General features: G+C 35.0%; 1 protein-coding gene and 1 long non-coding RNA gene across 15 annotated transcripts in view; one reads left to right on the forward strand and one right to left on the reverse strand.

Moving 5' to 3' along the window:
* MAPK10-AS1 (MAPK10 antisense RNA 1) overlaps positions 1 to 14,964 on the forward strand; it is a 100,121-nt gene extending 85,157 nt beyond the window's left edge. Inside the window, exon 4 of the long non-coding RNA NR_110879.1 lies at positions 14,813 to 14,964. This is a non-coding gene — a long non-coding RNA (MAPK10 antisense RNA 1). The remainder of the gene's footprint in view (positions 1 to 14,812) is intronic.
* MAPK10 (mitogen-activated protein kinase 10) overlaps positions 1 to 20,675 on the reverse strand; it is a 583,670-nt gene that overhangs the window by 194,558 nt on the left and 368,437 nt on the right. The window lies entirely within an intron of this gene.

Raw genomic sequence — 20,675 nt, forward strand, 5'->3', positions numbered from 1 at the left:
AAGAAGTCAACACAAACAATTCTACAATAACCGTAAAACCCAAAAGGCAGTGAAAAGCAGTAAAAGTGAGAAGTCAGTGACTATTATATTAAATGGAATTAAAGAAAAAAATTAAGCTATAAGCTATCATGACTAAGCCATAACACAGAGCCGTTGAAAGAGATTTTTAAGTGGTAAGGGATAGATACCCCTACCACATAAAAAAATATTTAAACCAAAGAGAGCTAGTATCTTATATTAACAAAATAGCCTTTAAGGCAAAAAGTATTATTAAGAATTACAATAGTCATTACTTAATGACAAAAGAGAAACTCCCCAAGAAAATATAACAGTCTTGGACTTATATGCACTTAGCATTACCTCAAAATGTGTAAAGCAAATATTAAAACAATTATAAGACTACAAAGAAAGCTGAAAAATTCACGATCACAGTGAGAGATTTTAACACATGTAAGTATCTCTTGCTTTTTATACAAACTGTTATAAAATAACAAAAAAGTGAGAAATCCTCCTATTAATTTGTTGAGGTTCATAAACTATCATACAAAGATAATATAAGACAAGAAAATTATAGTATAATCTTATGAACACACAGGTGAAAAATTTTAAAAATTATCAAGCAAAATTATATGTTAGGAAAAAATAATACAGAAAACCAAGTAGAGTTTATCCCAAGTATACAAGCATGTGGCAAATTGAGAATCTCTAGTAATATAATTCAATATATTTAACACATTAAAAAAGAAAAATTCTTGTCATATTCAGTAGATAGAGAAAATAATTTGATATCATTTCAAATCTATTCATGGTTAAAACACACACATATATTTCACCAACTAGAAAAAGAGACATTTTTCATAACTGGGTAAGAGTTTTCTATCAAAAGCAACAAATATCATATTTAATGATGAAAACAAGAAAAAGAGGCATTCCCTCTCAGATTTAATAAAATATAAAGATGTCTGCCATCATTGTTTCTATTCAATAGTACCCTGCAAATGAAATGAAATTTTTAAAATTGGCATACGAATTGAAAAAAACAAACTGTTCTCCACTGAAGACAACAGGATTTTTTTTTAATTTAATTTTATTATTATTATACTTTAAGTTTTAGGGTACATGTGCACAATGTGCAGGTTAGTTACATATGTATACATGTGCCATGCTGCTGTGCTGCACCCATTAACTCGTCATTTAGCATTAGATATATCTCCTAATGCTATCCCTCCCCCGTCCCCCCACCTCGCAACAGTCCCCAGAGTGTGATGTTCCCCTTCCTGTGTCCGTGTGTTCGCATTGTTCAATTCCCACCTATGAGTGAGAATATGCGGTGTTTGGTTTTTTGTTCTTGCGATAGTTTACTGAGAATGATGATTTCCAATTTCATCCATGTCCCTACAAAGGACATGAACTCATCATTTTTTATGGCTGCATAGTATTCCATGGTGTATATGTGCCACATTTTCTTAATCCAGTCTATCATTGTTGGACATTTGGGTTGGTTCCAAGTCTTTGCTTTTGTGAATAGTGCTGCAATAAACATACGTGTGCATGTGTCTTTATAGCAGCATGATTTATAGTCCTTTGGGTATATACCCAGTAATGGGATGGCTGGGTCAAATGGTATTTCTAGTTCTAGATCCCTGAAGAATCACCACACTGACTTCCACAAGGGTTGAACTAGTTTACAGTCCCACCAACAGTGTAAAATTGTTCCTATTTCTCTACATCCTCTCCAGCACCTGTCATTTCCTGACTTTTTAATGATCGCCATTCTAACTGGTGTGAGATGGTATCTCATTGTGGTTTTGATTTACATTTCTCTGATGGCCAGTGATGATGAGCATTTTTTCATGTGTTTGTTGGCTGCATAAATGTCTTCTTTTGAGAAGTGTCTGTTCATATCCTTCACCCACTTTTTGATGGGGTTGTATGCTTTTTTCTTGTAAATTTGTTGGAGTTCATTGTAGATTCTGGATATTAGCCCTTTGTCAGATGAGTAGGTTGCGAAAATTTTCTCCCATTTTGTAGGTTGCCTGTTCACTCTGATAGTAGTTTCTTTTGCTGTGCAGAAGCTCTTTAGTTTAATTAGATCCCATTTGTCAATTTTGTCTTTTGTTGCCATTGCTTTTGGTGTTTTAGACATGAAGTCCTTGCCCATGCCTATGTCCTGAATGGTAATGCCTAGGTTTTCTTCTAGGGTTTTTATGGTTTTAGGTCTAACGTTTAAGTCTTTAATCCATCTTGAATTAATTTTTGTATAAGGTGTAAGGAAGGGATCCAGTTTCAGCTTTCTACATATGGCTAGCCAGTTTTTCCAGCACCATTTATTCAATAGGGAATCCTTTCCCCATTGCTTGTTTTTCTCAGGTTTGTCAAAGATCAGATAGTTGTAGATAGGCGGTGTTATTTCTGAGGGCTCTGTTCTGTTCCGTTGATCAATATCTCTGTTTTGGTACCAGTACCATGCTGTTTTGGTTACTGTAGCCTTGTAGGATAGTTTGAAGTCAGGTAGCGTGATGCCTCCCGTTTTGTTCTTTTGGCTTAGGATTGACTTGGCGATACGGGCTCTTTTTTGGTTCCATATGAACTTTAAAGTAGTTTTTTCCAATTCTCTGAAGAAAGTCATTGGTAGCTTGATGGGGATGGCATTGAATCTGTAAATTACCTTGGGCAGTGTGGCCATTTTCACGATATTGATTCTTCCTACCCATGAGCATGGAATGTTCTTCCATTTGTTTGTATCCTCTTTTATTTCATTGAGCAGTGGTTTGTAGTTCTCCTTGAAGAAGTCCTTCATGTCCCTTGTAAGTTGGATTCCTAGGTCTTTTATTCTCTTTGAAGCAATTGTGAATGGGAGTTCACTCATGATTTGGCTCTCTATTTGTCTGTTATTCGTGTATAAGAATGCTTGTGATTTTTGTACATTGATTTTGTATCCTGAGACTTTGCTGAAGTTGCTTATCAGCTTAAGGAGATTTTGGGCTGAGACAATGGGGTTTTCTAGATATACAATTGAAAATCTAGAAGAAATGGATAAATTCCTCGACACATACACTCTCCCAAGACTAAACCAGGAAGAAGTTGAATCTCTGAATAGACCAATAACAGGATCTGAAATTGTGGCAATCATCAATAGCTTACCAACCAAAAAATTCCAGGACCAGATGTATTCACAGCCGAATTCTATCAGAGGTACAAGGAGGAATTGGTACCATTCCTTCTGAAACTATTCCAATCAATAGAAAAAGAGGGAATCCTCCCTAACTCATTTTATGAAGCCAGCATCATTCTGATACCAAAGCCGGGCAGAGACACAACCAAAAAAGAGAATTTTAGACCAATATCCTTGATGAACATTGATGCAAAAATACTCAATAAAATACTGGCAATCTGAATCCAGCAGCACATCAAAAAGCTTATCCACCATGATCAAGTGGGCTTCATCCCTGGGATGCAAGGCTGGTTCAATATACGCAAGTCAATAAATGTAATCCAGCATATAAACAGAGCCAAAGACAATAACCACATGATTATCTCAATAGATGCAGAAAAGGCCTTTGACAAAATTCAACAACACTTCATGCTAAAAACTCTCAATAAATTAGATATTGATGGGACGTATCTCAAAATAATAAGAGCTATCTATGACAAACCCACAGCCAATATCATACTGAATGGGCAAAAACCGGAAGCACTCCCTTTGAAAACTGGCACAAGACAGGGATGCCCTCTCTCAGCACTCCTATTCAACATAGTGTTGGAAGTTCTGGCCAGGGCAATTAGGCAGGAGAAGAAAATAAAGGGTATTCAATTAGGAAAAGAGGAAGTCAAATTGTCCCTGTTTGCAGGATTGTTTAGATAGACATTGCAATAGCAACCACCAATTATTTTAAGCAATAAAATAATTAAGAATTTCTGGTGACAAATCAATAGTATCTGATAATACCTAATGTTGTCAACTTTATAGGGAAATAAGAAGATTAATACAATAGTTAGTATATAAGACACTAATTGCTTGTTCCTATACAACAATATTAAAGAACAAACTGACAATAGTTGGTAAGGTTGAAGGTATGTGAACTAAACAAATCAATGGTTCCACTTGTATGTATCTACACTGAGAAACTTGACACAAAATGCAAGGAGAGATCGTGTTCATTATATCTCAGTTTTTAATAGCAAAAAGTCAACAAAATTAACAACCTACCATGAGAGAAATGTATTCATGAAAGAAAATACAAGACTTGAAGTGAATAAACTGAATCTAAAAGTAACAATATGGATACATTTCTAAAGCAATGTTTAAGAAGCACATGAAAATGACAGTACTGATGTATTCACGTATATAAAATTTAAAACACTGCTAATGAATAAAAGGTGAAGTAGGAAGCACCAGTAATCTGCCTCCCTACCTAGACAACAATTGCACTGACTGACAGAATTTGCATGAGGTAACTATTTTGGAACTCTGGAGTCTATTGAAGGCTCGCAATTTCTAGGCTAATCCTCAGTATGAAGAAAGCCCACACCAATCAGAAACAAAACAAAACAAAATTTAAAAACAGCAAACGATGGGATAGAAGGAGAATCTGATTTCCATAGTTATCATATTAGTAGATTCAAATTTTCAGTTTTTACATTGATGAAAGAAATTGAAGAGAACACAATAAAATGGAAAAATAGTCAATGTTTATGTATTGGAGGAATCAATACTGTTAAAATGTCTATACCCTACTCAAAGTAATTTACAGATATGATTCATTTCCTATCAAAGTACCAATGACATTCTTCATAGAAACAGGAAAAACAATCCTAAATGTATATGGAGCCACAAAATACCCAGAGTAGCCAAAACTGTCCTAAGCCAAAAGAGCAAATCTGGAGGAATCACATTACCTGACTTCAAATTATATTACAGAGCTATAGTAACCAAAGCTGTATGGTGCTGGCATAAAAATAGACACACAGACCAATGGAACAAAAGAGAGAACCCACAAACAAATCCATACATCTACAGTGAACTCATTTTCAACAAAGCTGCCAAGAACATACATTGGGGAAAGAACAGTCTCTTCAATAAATGGTGCTGAGAAAACTGGATATCTATATGCAGAAGAATAAAACTAGACCCTAATCTCTCACAATAAACAAAATTCAAATCAAAATAGATTACAGTCTTAAATGTAAGACCTCAAACTATAAAAGTTCTATAGGAAAATTTTGGGGAAACTCTCCAGGACATTCAACTGGGCAAATATTTCTTGAGTAATACCCCACAAGAATAGGCAACCAAAGCAAAAATAGACAAATAGGATAACAAGTTAAAAACTCCTCCACAGCAAAGGAAACAGTCCATGAAGTGAAGAGATAACCCAAAGAATGGGAGAAAATATTTGCAAACTATCTATGTGACAAAGTATTAATAACAGAATATATAAGGAGCTCAAACGACTCTATTAGAAAAAAATTGAAAAATCTGGTTAAATAATAATTTAATGTTCAATAATAATTATATACATTTAAAGGAAACTAAAAGTATTTATAATTGCTTTATTTGTAACACAAAGGATAAATGCTTGAGGTGATGGATACCCTATTTACCCTGATGTGATTTGTATGCATTGCATGCCTATATCAAATATCTCATGTACACCTATGTCTCATGTACTCATGAAAATTAAAAACTTTAAAAGGAATAACGTTGTTTTCAACAAAAGTCACAAGTCATACAAAAAAAAGGGAAGTATGGCTCAGTCAAAGAAAAAAATAGACAGAAAACGATCCCTGAGAAAGGCCAGATGGCAAAACTACTAGATAAAGACTTTAAAACAATTCTTTCAAAGATGCTCAAAGAACTGAAGGAAGACATGCAAAAAGTCAAGAAAATAACATATTAACAATAAAAATATTAATAAAGAAAAATCCTAAAAAGGAAAAAAAAGAAATTCTAGAGCTGAAAAGTACAAGAAGTGAAGTGAAAAAAAATTCATGAGACAAACTCCAAGGAAGATTTGAGCAGCAGAGTAAAGAATCAATGAACTTGAAGACAGAACAATAAAAATTATTAATTATGAAGAACAGAAAGAAGGATTGAGAAAAATTAAACGAAGCCTAAGCAACCTGTGGAACACCATTAAGTGAACCAACTTACACATTGTGGAGTTTCAAAAGAAGAAGAGAGAGAGAGGGGTAGAAAGATTATATAAAGAAATAATTGCCAAAACTTCCCAAGTTTGATGAAAGATATAAACATCTAAGAAGCTCAACAAATGCCAAGTTGGATGAATCAAAAAGACCCCATGCTAAGACACATTAAAATTAAAATGTTGAAAGCCAAAGACAAAGAGAGAATATTGAAAGCAGTGAGAAAGAAGTGATTCAGCACATACAAGAGATTCTTAATAAGATTATTAGCAGATTTCTAATCAGAAACTTTGGAGGGCAGAAGGGAGTGGGCTAATATATTCAAAGTGCTAAAAGAAAAAAAGTGTCAACCAAGAATCTAATGTTTAACAAAACTGTTTTTCAAAAGTAGGAAAGAAATTAAGACATTTCCAGATAAAAGCTGAAAGAATTCACTACCACTAGACCTGCTTTGCAAGAAATGCTAAATAAAGTCATTCGGGTTAAAATGAAAGGACACTCAAAACTATATGAGGAAGTAAAAACTCAGTAAAGGAAAATATATAGATAATTATAAAAGTTAGTATTATTGCAATAATCATTTGTAATTCTACTCTTTGCTTTCTACATAATTTAAGAGGCTAATGCACTGAGAAGAACTGCTTGTTTTTGGACACACACAATGTAAATGTAATTTATAACATCAATAACTAAATAAAGGGATTAAGGACAAAGCTGGAAAAAAGCAGAGTTTGTATGTTACTGAAGTTAAGTTGGTATAAATTCAAATTGGTGTGCTACAACTTCAACATATTAAATGTATTCCCCATGCTAGACACATACAAAAAACAGTTATAGAATCTATACAAAAGAAAATCAGAAGGGAATTAAAATGTTTTAGTACAAAAGAAAGAAAGAAAAAAAGACAGTAATGCGGGAAATGAGGGACAAAAAAGCTCTGAGTCATACAGAAAACAAATACCAAAATGTCAGAGGTTCCTCCTTGGTAATTGCTTTAAATGTAAGTAGATTAAATTCTTCTATCAAAAGACAGATGGGCAGAATGGATTTAAAAAAAAAACACCATCCAACTATATGCTATCTATGAGAGATTTGCTTTAGATCCAAAGACAGAAATAGACTGAAAGTCAGAGGATGGAAAAATATATTTGTGCATCTAGCACTTTGGGAGGCTGAGGTGGGAGGATCTCTTCAGGTCAGGAGTTCAAGACCAGCCTGGGCAACATATCAAGACCTTGTCTGTACAAAAAAAAAATTATAAAATTAGCTGGGTATGGTGGTGCACACCTGTATTCCTAGCTACTCAGGAGACTGAGGCAGGAGGCTCACTTGAGCCAGGAATTCAAGGCTGCAATGGGCCATTATTACACCACTGCACTCCAGCCTGGGCAACAAAGTGAGACCCTGTCTTGAAAACAAACTAAAAAGGATATTCTATGCAAATAGTAACCATAAAGAGAACAGGGATGGTTATACTAACATCAGACATAGTAACTTTAAATCAAAAAAAGTTTACAAGAGACAAACAGGACACTGTATTAATAAAGCATTCAATATAAAAGAAGATATAACAATTATAAATATTTATTCACCTAATAATAGACCATCAAAATATAGGAAGCAAAAATTCACAAGACTGGAAGGAGAAATTGACAGATGTACGACAGTAGTTGGAGACTTCAACATGCTATTCTAAATAGTAAATATAACAACCATACAAATACAAATTATATGTAAAGAAATAGAGAACTTGAACAGCACAATAAATGAACAATAGCTAATAGACGTATACAGAACCGTCTTCCTCAAAACAATATACAATATTCTCAAGTGCACATGGGACATATTCCAGAATAGGCCATATGTTAGTCCAAGATATAATACACTATTTTCTCTGGTCACAACAGTATGAAGTTAGAAACCAATAACAGAGAAAAACTTAACAATTCAGAAATTTGTAGAAATTAATAAAAACACTTTTAGACAACCAATGGATCAAATAAGAAGTCATAAGGGAAAATATAAATTCATACTAGGAGATGAATTAAAATGAAAATACAACATAACAAAACCTATAAGCCACCACAAAAGCAATGCTAAGGGAGAAATTTAGAGCTGCAAATGCTTACAATACAAAAGAGAGAAAGATCTTGAATAACAACCTAACTTTGCAACTTAAGGAATTAGAAAAAGAAGAACATATTAAACTCAAACCTGACAGATGGTAGAAAATAACAAAGATTTGAGCAGAGACCAACAAAATAGAGAATAGAAAAGCAAAAAAGAAAATTGTTGAAATCGAAAGTTTGTTTTTTAAAAAGATTAACAAAATTGACAAATCTTTAGCTGGATTTAGTAAGATAAAGAAGAAGGACTCAAATTCCTGAAATCAGAAATGAAAGTGGATATATGAGTGGGGACATTAGTACAAATTCTAAAAAAAGGAATAGGACAATAAGAGATTACTGTGATTAATTGTATGCCAACAAATTGCTTGAACTAAATGAAATGGACAAATTCCTAGAAACACAAAATCTACTAATACAGACTCAATTTAAAAAACACAAAATCTGAATAGACCTGTTACTAGCAAGGAAATTAAATCAATAATCAAAAACATTCTGACAAAGAAAAAGCCCTGACCCTGATGGCTTCACTGATGAATTCTACCATTCTACCATACAAAGAAGAACTAACTCCAATTATTTTCAAACTTTCCCTAAAAATTGAATAGGAGGGAACACTTACAGACTCATTCTATGAGACCAACACTGCCCTGAAACAAAAGCCAGACAAAGATATTACAAGAAAATAAAACCACAGACCAATATCCCTGTGAATATTGATGGGAAAATCCTCAATAAAATATTGACAAACTCTTAGCAACAAAATACTAGCAACACATTAAAGGGATTATATACTATGACCAAGTGAGATTTATTGCTAGAATGCAAGGATGGTTCAACATACAAAAATCAATCTATGTAGTATATCTCATTAATGGAATGAAGGAAAACATTATGTGATTATTTCAATTGATACAGAAAAACCATTTGACAAAATTCAACACCCTTTCATGATTTTAAAAAACACTCAACAAACTAAAAATAGAATGAAACTATCTCAACACAATAAGAACCATATATGAAAAACTCATCGTGAACATCATACTCAATTGTGAAAGAGCAAAAGATATTCCTCTAACATCAGGAACAAGGTAAGGATGTTCACTTTTACACCTTCTATTCAACAAATTTCTAGAAGTTTCAGCCAGAGCAATTAGGGAAAAAAACAGGAAAGAAGGAAATAAAGAAAGGGCATCCAAATTTGAAAGGAAAAAGTACAATTATATTTGTTCACAGATAATCTGATTTTCTACATAGAAAACCCTTAAGATTCCTTAAAAAAAAAAAAAAAAAAAAAAAACTGTTAGAACTGATAAACAGATTCAGCAAAGCAGCAGGATACAAAGTTAACGCGCAAAAATCAATTGCATTTCTATACACTAACAATGAACAATCTGAAAAGGAAATTATGAAAACATTTCAAATTACAATAGCATCAGAAAGAATGAAATACTTAGGAATTGACTTAACCAAGAAGGAAAAACACTTGTACAATGAAAACTAAAGAAAAAATACTGAAATGTATTTTTAAAAGGCATAAAAAATAGAAAGACATCTCATGTTCATAGATTGGATGTCTTAATATTGTTAAGATGTCAATACTAGCCAAAGCTATATGCAAACTCAATGCAATCCTTATCAGAATCACATTGATTTTTGCAAAAACAGACAAATCCACCCTAAAATTCATATGAAGTCTCAAGGAGACTTAAGTAGCCAAAACAACCTTGAAAAAAGAACAAAACGGAAGGACCCACACTTCCTGATTTCAAAACCTACTACAAAGCTACAATAATCAAAACTGTGTAGTACTAGCATAAAGACTGATGTATAGATCAATGAAATAGAATAGGAACCCCAGAAAAAACCTTGGCATAAACAATCAATTAATTTTCAACCAGGATGCCAAGACCATCCAATGGTGAAAGGACAGTCTTTTCAACAAACAGTACTGGGAAAACTGTATATTCACATGCAAACAAATGAAGTTGGACCTTTACCTAACAACAAATGCAAAAGTTAACCAATAATGGATCAAAGATCTAAATGTAAGAGCAAAAACAATCAAACTGTTATAAGACAACATAGAACAAACCTTCACAATATTGGATTGTCAATGATTTCTTGGATATAACATGAAAGACACAAGCAACAAAAGCAAAAATAGACAAATTGGACTTCATAAAAATTTAAAACTTGTTCATGAAAGGATACTGTCAATAGAGTGAAAAGGCAACCTGTGGAGTGGGAGAAAATATTTTCAAATAATACAGATAAAAAGAAATTCAAATCCAAAATACGTAGAAACTAACACTAAATAATTTTTTTAAAAAATATTCAAGTTGGCAGGGCACAGTGGCTCATGCCTGTAATCCCAGCACTTTTGGGAGACCAAGGCAGATGGATCACGAGGTTAGGAGATCAAGATCATCATGGCCAACATGGTGAAACCCCGTCTCTACTAAAAATACAAAAAATTAGCCGGGCGTTGTGGTGCTCACCTGTAGTCCCAGCTACTCAGGAGGCTGGGGCAGGAGAATCGCTTGAACCCGGGAGGCGGAGGTTGCAGTGAGCCGAGATTGTGCCACTGCACTCCAGCCTGGGCGACAGATTGAGACTCCATCTCAAAAAGAAAAACTATTCAAGTATTCAAGTTACCATCTCACATCCATTGGGATGGCTATTATTTCAAAAAAAATTAAAAACCAAACAATCAAAACTACAGAAAATAACAAGCGTTGTTGAGAATGTGGAGAGATATGAACCCTTGTGCCCTATTGGTGAAAATGAAAATTAGTACAGCCACCCTGGAAAACAGCACAGCAGTACCTTAAAAAATGAAAAATAGAATTACCATGTGATCCAGCAATCCCATGCCTGGTTATATGCCCAAAAGAATTGAAAGCAGGGTCTCAAAAAGATATTTGTACACCTGTCTTCATAGCAGTATTATTCACACTAGCTAAAACATGAAAGCAATTCAAATGTCCATCCAGGAATGAACAGATTAGCAAAATGTGCTATATATATATATATAGCACACACACATATATATATAGCATATATATATATATATATATATAGCCACATATATACACACAATAGAAAAGTATTCACCCTTAAAAAGGAAGGAAATTCCGACATGCTACTGTTGGTGATAGTTGCACATGATCAATGTACTTAACACTACTCAATTGTACAATTAAAAATGGTGAAGATGGCAAATTTTATGTTCTGTGTATTTTGCCATAACAGAAAAAGTTGAAAGAAAAACAATGTATTTAAGATTTAAATAGCAATGCCATACCTAAGAACTTCTACTAAAGAAGTAATCAAATATCTATATTTTAATCCATAAGATTAATCCCTAATAATGTTTACCACAGCATTATTTATAATAAAATAATAGAAACACTAAATGTTCAATAAAAAGAAAATGATGAAGTAATTATTGTTAGAACATAATTCCACTTAGCTATTTATAAATTATGACACAGATACATGTTCATAATATATTGTAAAATGGAAAAAATTGGTAACAAAAGAGTATTACAATATGTCCCCAATCTTTTAAAACAAATATAGTTACAAATATAGTTTTAGAAAATATAGATAGAAATATGCACATTAATAACTCTACTTTTATGTATATTTGTTTCATAATGAAAAATGCATATTTTTAATAAGGTGAAATATTATTACAGCACGTGAAAGAATAACAGATTCAGGTATTTTGAACTAAAAGAAAACATAGTAAACACATAAGCAACTTATTTTCATAGAGAAACCAGAGGTCTAAATGGTAAATGGTTAGGAAACTTTCAAAATTTATACATCTCATCCATGAGGCAATAAGGAGTCAGATCTAAATGCCCAAATGCTATTCATTAAACACACATTACATTTCTCACCAAAATTTGGCCAGCAAACACTTGAAACATCTTAAAAATTGCCTCTTAGGAATTGACATTTTCTCCCCTAGTTCTTCCTAAAATTCATGTATTTTGGAGCCTGAACCTAGACACAAGTATTTCACTTATTTTTCTAAAACATTCTATACAGAATTGTATTAATATAGAGAAATAAGATTTTTTCTGTCATCCTTATAATTTGTAAAATTAATAAAATATTCTTAAATTGGTTCAACAGATACTACCAATTCAGGTTTCACTAACAATCACAAAAAACATTTACACAGGTGAAGTATCCAAACTGTTATTTTTTGCCTAGTTATATCTTTTCCTTCAACATTTCTCAATGCATTTTGTCATTATACCTATTAACTGGCATACAACTCAGCTCCTTGGTTACTGCAAGAAACCCTATATACCATCACCACAGCCATCATCCGACACACAGAATACTCAGCATGTAACGTCCTTGTATTCTCCACATCTTTAATCATTGCTAGGTTTGTATATGTACACATGTGAATTATACATGGTCTTTTTTTCTAAATAGTTACTGGAAAGAAAAGATGGTATTTTTTTCCTTAATGATTCCTCATTAATAAGATACCTATTTGTAAAGCATAAAATACATTATCTCATATATGGTAAATGCTATATATATGCTTATATATATAATTTTGATAGATCAGTAAATAACAGTTCACATCACAGAAGATAAATACATATTGACTGCAAACCTCAAATTAAAAATAGCAATGGAATGTTGTCCACAAAATCATTCTGATTTTTATTTAGAATTACTTATAAAGAGAAGTAGAATTATTTATATGTATAGTCATGTTTAATATTAAACATTTTTAAAAGAAAGTTTATTCCAATTATCATCACACTGATTCAATGAATAATTCTATAAATATTTAACAGTATCTATTCTGAGTGAGGCACTATACTGAGGACTTTGTGAACAAAAATAAACAACTCAAAAATAAAAGGCCAAAATTAGTGCCTTTAAGAAATTCCCATTAGATTAAAATATTGTACATATATATAGGCTTATTATTTATTTATTTATTTTGAGACGGAGTCTCACGCTGTCACCTAGGCTGGAGTGCAGTGGCGCCATCTCAGCTCACTGTAACCTCTGCCTCCTCAGCCTCCCGAGTGGCTGGGACTACAGGCGCCCGCCACCACGCCCGCCTAATTTTTTCTATTTTTAGTAGAGACAGGGTTTCACTGTGTTAGCCAGGATGGTGATCCGCACGCCTTGGCCTCCCAAAGTGCTGGGATTACAGGTGTGAGCCACCGCGCCTGGCCTAGGCTTATTTTTAAATCTTAAAAGTTCAACATTTTAAATTTTTGTAAGGATGGCCTTTCAAAATATGTTTATCATAACACATATGGGCATAATAATAAGACTTAAGCAAAAAAAAAAAAAAAAAAACACTTTGGGCAATTAATTTAAAAGGCAAAATAAAATCTTAATTCCTCTGAACAAGTAGTATCATTGCTTTAATTACACATCCTCAAAATAACTAGGCCAATAGGGGCTATTAATTAGGTGAAATGTCATCTTGAATCCTGGAGAGGTGCTGAACTTACATGAACAAATCCATCCCTTAAGTGATATGGAAAAATCTAACGATATAATGAGCAGAATAAATTCGGAGGTCACTCTATCTCCCAGTCACTTAGCAACTGATTTGTAGGGAAGAGGGCAAGAGGGAAATGATTTGTAAAAATAATTAACCATAAACTCAATAGTAGAGATAAGTGAAAAGGAGGCTGGAAATGGAAGCGGCTTTACCCAGGGCTTCCAGCCAACTCTTCTTGTAGGGAGGAATTCATCATGACACAAAAGCCCCAGACATAATGTTTACCTTTCTTCCTTTTATCCATACATCTCTCCGACTTCCCCACGTTCCTGTTTCTATTGATAGACTTCAGGAGCACACATGCAAACCTAAACCCTTTCTCTTTGTCTCCATAGTTTTCTTTGTCTTTCTTTTTTCCCAAAAAGAGATTGAGAGAGACAGAGAGAGAGAGAGAGATTTCCATGGTATTGGGGGCAGATTTCTCAGACTTGCCCCTTTCTGCAGGCATAATTGGCACACATCCTCTCTTGCACAACCAAACTCTTAAATTCCAAAGTAAAGCACATTACTACAAACTTGAGTCACAAGTACAAACACTCATTTCACTTAGCAGCATAAAGATTTCTGTTTGGTTTTTCTAATTGGCCAGTACTATGTAAAATAAAGGAAGAAAAGGAGGATATTTGGGATATTTTCCTAGTAAACTCAAATCACAATCCAATGCTTCAAGCAGAATAAGCCATAAATTCTCACAATGTCAATGTTTTCTTAATTTATTCTTTTAGCTTACTTGCAATGGATATTTTAAAATAATACTTCTTATAAGAATAACATTATTTCTGGAAATATGGAAATATATCTCTTATTGTTTTGAAATAATTAAAAAGGCTGTCAAGTAACACTTAACCTCTTAGAGTAAGGTCATTTATTTAATGATAAGGTCATTATTTAATGACAGTAACATAAATTAGTAGACAACTTTGAAGACTTTAAAATAATTCAGTCTTTTATAAGAAAAATATTCTATATTTTTCAGGTATAATATCAATATTCTTACATTCAAGTTGCTTTAATATCTGTTAACATAAACCAAAGCAAGTTATAGTTATGGGCTGGTAAGAAGAGAACAACCATCTATTGAAAACCGTCTACAGATAAGTGCTTTGTATAATAAATTATTTGCTTTAATATTTTCTTTTCTAGAAATGTGTATAAGAATTACAATATATTACTTAATCTTACAACATAAAACTGCACACACTTTTGCCAAGCGTATGTTTACACATTTTATCCACATCCAATTTAAGTAAGTTATGATACATTGAGTTACATTTACTATTTTAAGATATCAATTATAAAACTCATTGTAGGAGAAAACTGTATAAACAAAGGCATCTTAATATGGCCCAAAACTAAATAAAATGTTAAGCTATATAATCTTAGTTTGCTTTAATTTCATCTGTGACATTTTATGATTGGTTGAAATGTCACAACAACAAAAATAAAGTCCAAATAAAGCATTAAATGACTGGCCTGTATGGAGCCATCATTAATCACTTATGAGAGTTACTCATGCTAAATGCGTCATCCAGAGTAAAAACAAAACAAAACAAAAAAAAAATGAGGTTGACAATATACTAATTTGACCTCTGCATATTGTGAATTGAGTAATCTGTAATGTTGGAAAACATAAGACTAGTGTAGGAATAATATGGAGATTGGATGGAGGCAGGAAAGTAGGGGCAATGATGCCATAAGCAGCTCTTCCTTAAATTTTATTTAGTCCTGAAGAATTTAAGAATTTAAATAAAAAGAGAGAGAAGCATATTTTCCACATTTATATACATATATGATTAACTGGCTGATATTTAGAAGGAAATGTATATTTTTACATTGAACTTCACTTGTGTTTAGAGTTATAAAAGCAAGTTCAAAATTTTACAAGTAATTTTTAACAGTAAACACAATAATATTTTAGGTTTCTTCTAATGACGTACAGCCTAATATATTTGTATGGCGTTTCTAACTAGCATTTTAGCATTTGGATCAAGGCAAAGGGCAAAAGTCTCTTGTTTATTTTATCTCATTTATTTCTGTCCCAAACTCTAGGCTCTCTATAACCTTTAAATATGTTCAGGAGATTCAGTTATGTCTCAATTGTCGAACAACATAAGGGGCTTTTGAAAGAATGTTTTGACTAATGACAGAGAATTATTATTTTTATTTTCTGTATCATTTTCCTCTCCAATGAACATCTTTTGGTACGTTCTCCCTTTTCCCTAGCTTAAATTGTCACTTAGGCTAGTCCACTGAGCTAGCCCACAGTCTCCCGAATAGAAGGCGGCTGGGAAGTGCCCATCAGTCAGGGACAGACAGACAGCCAAGGAGAGGTTTAGAAATTAAAATTCAGTGTGAAGCTAGAAAGACAAAATGGAGAAGTGATAACAGGCTAGGACCAAACTAAACAGAAGTGAGGAGGTATAAATCCTGAGCAATCACCTCAAGAACAATGCCACCCAGCATGCCATTGGCTTTTACAGGTCACTGGCTTGACAGGAGTAATTCAAAATGTGGGAGGAAAAAGCCACATCGGATGGCTACTCTGCTAATTTATCTTATGCAGCAAACAAGGCAGTGTAGAAATTGCAGTAACCAAGCATATTTATAGACAATAAAGGAGGCACATTGATATGGTTTGGATCTGTGTCCCCACCCAAATTGCATATTCAAGTATATTTTTGGTTTTTTTTTTTTATAAAAACAGGGTCTGGCTCTGTCTCCCTGGCTGCCCAGGCAGGAGTTCAGTGGGGTGATCACAGGTCACTGCAGGCTCGACCTCCCAGACTCAAGCGATTCTCCCACCTCAGCCTCCTTAGTGGCTGGGACTAGAGATGCACACCACCACACCTGGCTGATTTTTGTTTGTTTGTTTGTTTGTTTGTTTTTGTAGAGACAGGTTTTGCCATGTTTCCCAGGCTGGTCTCGAACTCTTGGGTTCAAGGGACCCACCCACCTCGGCTTCCCAAAGTGCTTACAAGCGTAAGCCACTGAGCACAGCATATCATGTTCAATTGTAATCCCTAGTGTTGGAGGTGGGACTTGGTGGGAGGTGATTGGAACATGGGGGTGGAATTCTCATGAATGGGTTAGCACCATCCCCTCAGCACTGTTCTTGTGCTACTGAGTGACTTTTTGTGAGATCTAATTGTTTAAAAGTACATAGAACCTCCCCCTCTCTCTCTTGCTCCTCCTTGAGATCTGGTTCTTTCAAAGTGTGTAGCATCTGCCCCTCACTCTCTTGCTCGTCTTCCAGACATGTAAGACATGCCAGCTTCCCCTTCACCTTCTGCCATGACTGGAAGTTTCCTGAGGCCTCCCCAGAAGCTACACAGATGCCAGCATCATGCTTTCTGTACAGCCTGGGAAACTGTGAGCCAATTAAACCTCTTTTCTTTATTAATTACCCAGTCTCAGGTATTTCTTTATAGCAGTGAAAAAACAGACTAATACATATATTCTTCATTTATAGAGGATGATGCTATACAACACTCAAATCCTCTCTTCTAAACTAAGGCACTCATTTATCCAAATGCCAGGAGTTTTGCTTACTGACAGCACACAGCTGAGCCGTTTCCTAAAAATGGCCCTCTGCTAAAAGGAGCTTCTGGGCCCAAGGTTACTCCTCTTCCCCAGTGACTGTGCAATGCAAGGTACAAAGCCTTCACACCACCTCCACACTTTGCCTTAACTTGGGGCATCGCCTTAGGGTCACTGCAACTTCACAGATACCCATGGGATCAGCTGAGGTCTCTGTTGCAACTGCATGGTGCCCAAGCAAAGACTAAGACTTCATAATACAGTACAGCTTGTATTTATAGCCTTTGCAGACCAGTTAAAAATAAAAATAAACCTTTGTCTTTGTGAAGAATCCCAAAATAGGTGGAAAGCAATGTCCAGCCTCTTCCTACTGAAGTGGAAGTCCATTTTGTTCTTGACTGGTCCTCCAGGCCTCCAGAAGATCTATGCACCCCCTAATAGACTTTTACACACAATGTTTGAAGGCAACTTCTAAACTTCATCCAACCTTCTCCAGGAGCAGAGGAATTTCATCATGCTGATGACATCTTCCTCTAAGGAGAGTCAGTTCACACACTTATTCAGTACATGCAAACATTCACAAATAAGTTCACAAAGAAAAAATGTGCCATTGTCCCCCACACAGTACAAGGCCTCATCACCTTGGTTAAATTCCTGAAAATTATTTAGCAAGTCAAGAATCACTCTATCCCTGACACTGTCAAGAAACAGCCATTGACCCTCAATACCCACATGCTCAACATCTTTTAAGCCTTGTGGATTCTGGAGGCAACATATTCTGCATTACAAATTTTACTTTTTATCATGTTAAACTTACTTTTTACCAAATTTTAAATTTTACCATTTAGGGTGTTACATATCAGCTCCCCTTTAATGAGGCCCCCTTTTACAACAGAAGCCTCTAGAATCTGCCCAAATTTGCAGTACAGCTGGCATTCACCCTAGTGCCTCCCTCCCCCAAGACTTCTTCATTTTAGAAACCTCCTCTCATGTCTCCTGGAACATCTGGATCACCTATAATGGCCATAACTTGCGTATGGACTCTGTGATGAGTCCTGTGAACATTGTCCTGTTCGGCACCATACTACACACCATTAGAACAGCATTGCTGGCTGCATTCTGTGCTCTCCTGAGAATGGAGGCTCTCACAGGGCCTGAGCCCTCAACTCCACATACCCACTTGCACATTATGCTTTGGGTCATGAAAACAGCACCTGGAAAGCTCAGCACTTCCACTGAGGCCTCCTTGCTACAAAGACAAACCCGGAACCTCGGGCCATTTCCACCTGCAGGAGGCAGTAGCCTCCCCTATCCCCAAATCTCACCCCTCCCTCTTCTTCCTCTGCACCACATCTGGGCAAACTAATAAGAAAGCCCAGATGCTCCCTCCTCTGGTGGCAACAGGAAGTTCAAATCACACAAGCCCTGGCCAATACATAAAAGAATTCTCACTTTGCCCCAACCCCCTAACCACAGTAAAATCCCAAGCGAGTCTCTTTTCCCTGCTTTTCATGGCAGTCTTGGACCTGCTTAGAAACATGCCCTGCTCTCCCCAGAAAGTCTCATTATGTAAATAATGTGCCTTTCATACCCTCTTGTGGCATGTGTGGCATCATCAATCTTGACACCTGAACCAAATTTGTGGGAGAGATGTCCATCCTTCCTCTGGAGGGTGACTTAGACATACCCTAGTTTTTATGTAAACCTTTCTTGAGCTTAGTTGCCGTTCTTTATGATCCGAAATATCAAATGTAGGAATTGGAACCCTACCTCAGTTCTAATGATCTGAGTGCACTGAACAAATGAAACTGTTTCAATGTTTTCATGTAAAAAATATTTATTTAATGCATACTATGGGCCTGGAATTCTGCTAGACACTAAGAATACAGAGGAGTTGTCAGTCTAATGGGAAAGACAGATATTATCAATGCCATTTTAAGAAATGTAAATTTTCAACTGTGACAAATGCCGGGGAAGAAAAGTATGTTAATATGTTATATGAACCTATCAGTTCTAATGGAATCAGTCCTAGACAGTCAGAAATATTAAGGAAGTGATATATTAACTGAAAGCTTAAGAATGAGTAGAAGTGCACTAGGTAAAAAAGGAAGGGAACAGAGTTCCAGGTAGAGGGACTAGCAAAGACACAGTGGCAGAGGAAGCATAGAGAATGTGAGAGACTGAAAATCAGAGCAACCATTGAAGAGCTTCGGGGTAAGCATGACTTTATCAGATTTGTGTTTTAATGATTACACCGGGTCAGTATGAGGAATGAATTAAAGAAGGTAGATATATTGACGATCAAACACCAATAACCCAATATCAATGCTATTGATTTAATTCACAAGCATATGTATACCTTCCCTTTCTTTGCTCCCCAAATTTAAGATAACATAATCTATGCACAAGATTTGATAAATCTGAGTTTGTGTTTTCCCTCAAAATTAGAAAATAAGGTCAGAGAATCTCATCTTCTGAAATGGAAGTATAAAAATATTATCCAAGATGAATGAGACTAGCCTTACTATTCATTTACAGAAATAACATCTTAAATACAATTCTCTATTGCAATGAAAATTAAATCTTATTTATTTTGCAGTAATCTAAAATTTATAGACAGCAGATGTTTAGTTGGCCCAAAGGAACCTTGAAGTTAACTGTTCTCAATTAGTGTGTAAATTTAACTGCTAAAGTAAGTTAATACCCTAGGGGAAAAAATAATGTTAATACTCATGCAAGAATCCAAATAGGTCAATATATTCGTTTTCTGTGCAGAAAAGAGTTAACAGCAGCCTGAAGCTGTTATCCCTAGAAATCCGTGCTTGGAAGTTTGGCCCTGAGCTGGAGTATAGAAACTTGGAGGTGGAGAGGGTTTCTACCATTGTCAGGACTGATGAGAGGGCCATAACTGTTTGTATTAACAATGTGGTTTATGCTGAATACCTGCTTTCCTCCTGGAAGTCTCAAATTTTTGTACATCCCAGACACAGGGTGCCTACATGACTAGCCACCAATAAATCCTTGGGCTGTAGTTTTCAGTGAGCCTTCCTGGTAGACATGTAGTCACAATCTGTTGCTGTAGGAAATGGGCAAGTCCTGTGTGACTCTACCGAGAGAAGACTCCTGAAAGCTTGTGTGTGGTTCCCTTTGAATTTCACCTCATGGGCCATTTTCTTTTGCTAATTCACTTCGCAGCCTTTCACTATAATAAATCCTAACTGCGAATGTAACTCTATATTTTGAGTTCTCTGAGTCCTCTTAGCAACTCATCACACTCAGTGGTGGTCTTTGGGACCCGCCCC

This window comes from Homo sapiens, chromosome 4 (genome assembly GCF_000001405.40).
Source record: "Homo sapiens chromosome 4, GRCh38.p14 Primary Assembly".
Lineage (NCBI taxonomy): Eukaryota > Metazoa > Chordata > Mammalia > Primates > Hominidae > Homo > Homo sapiens.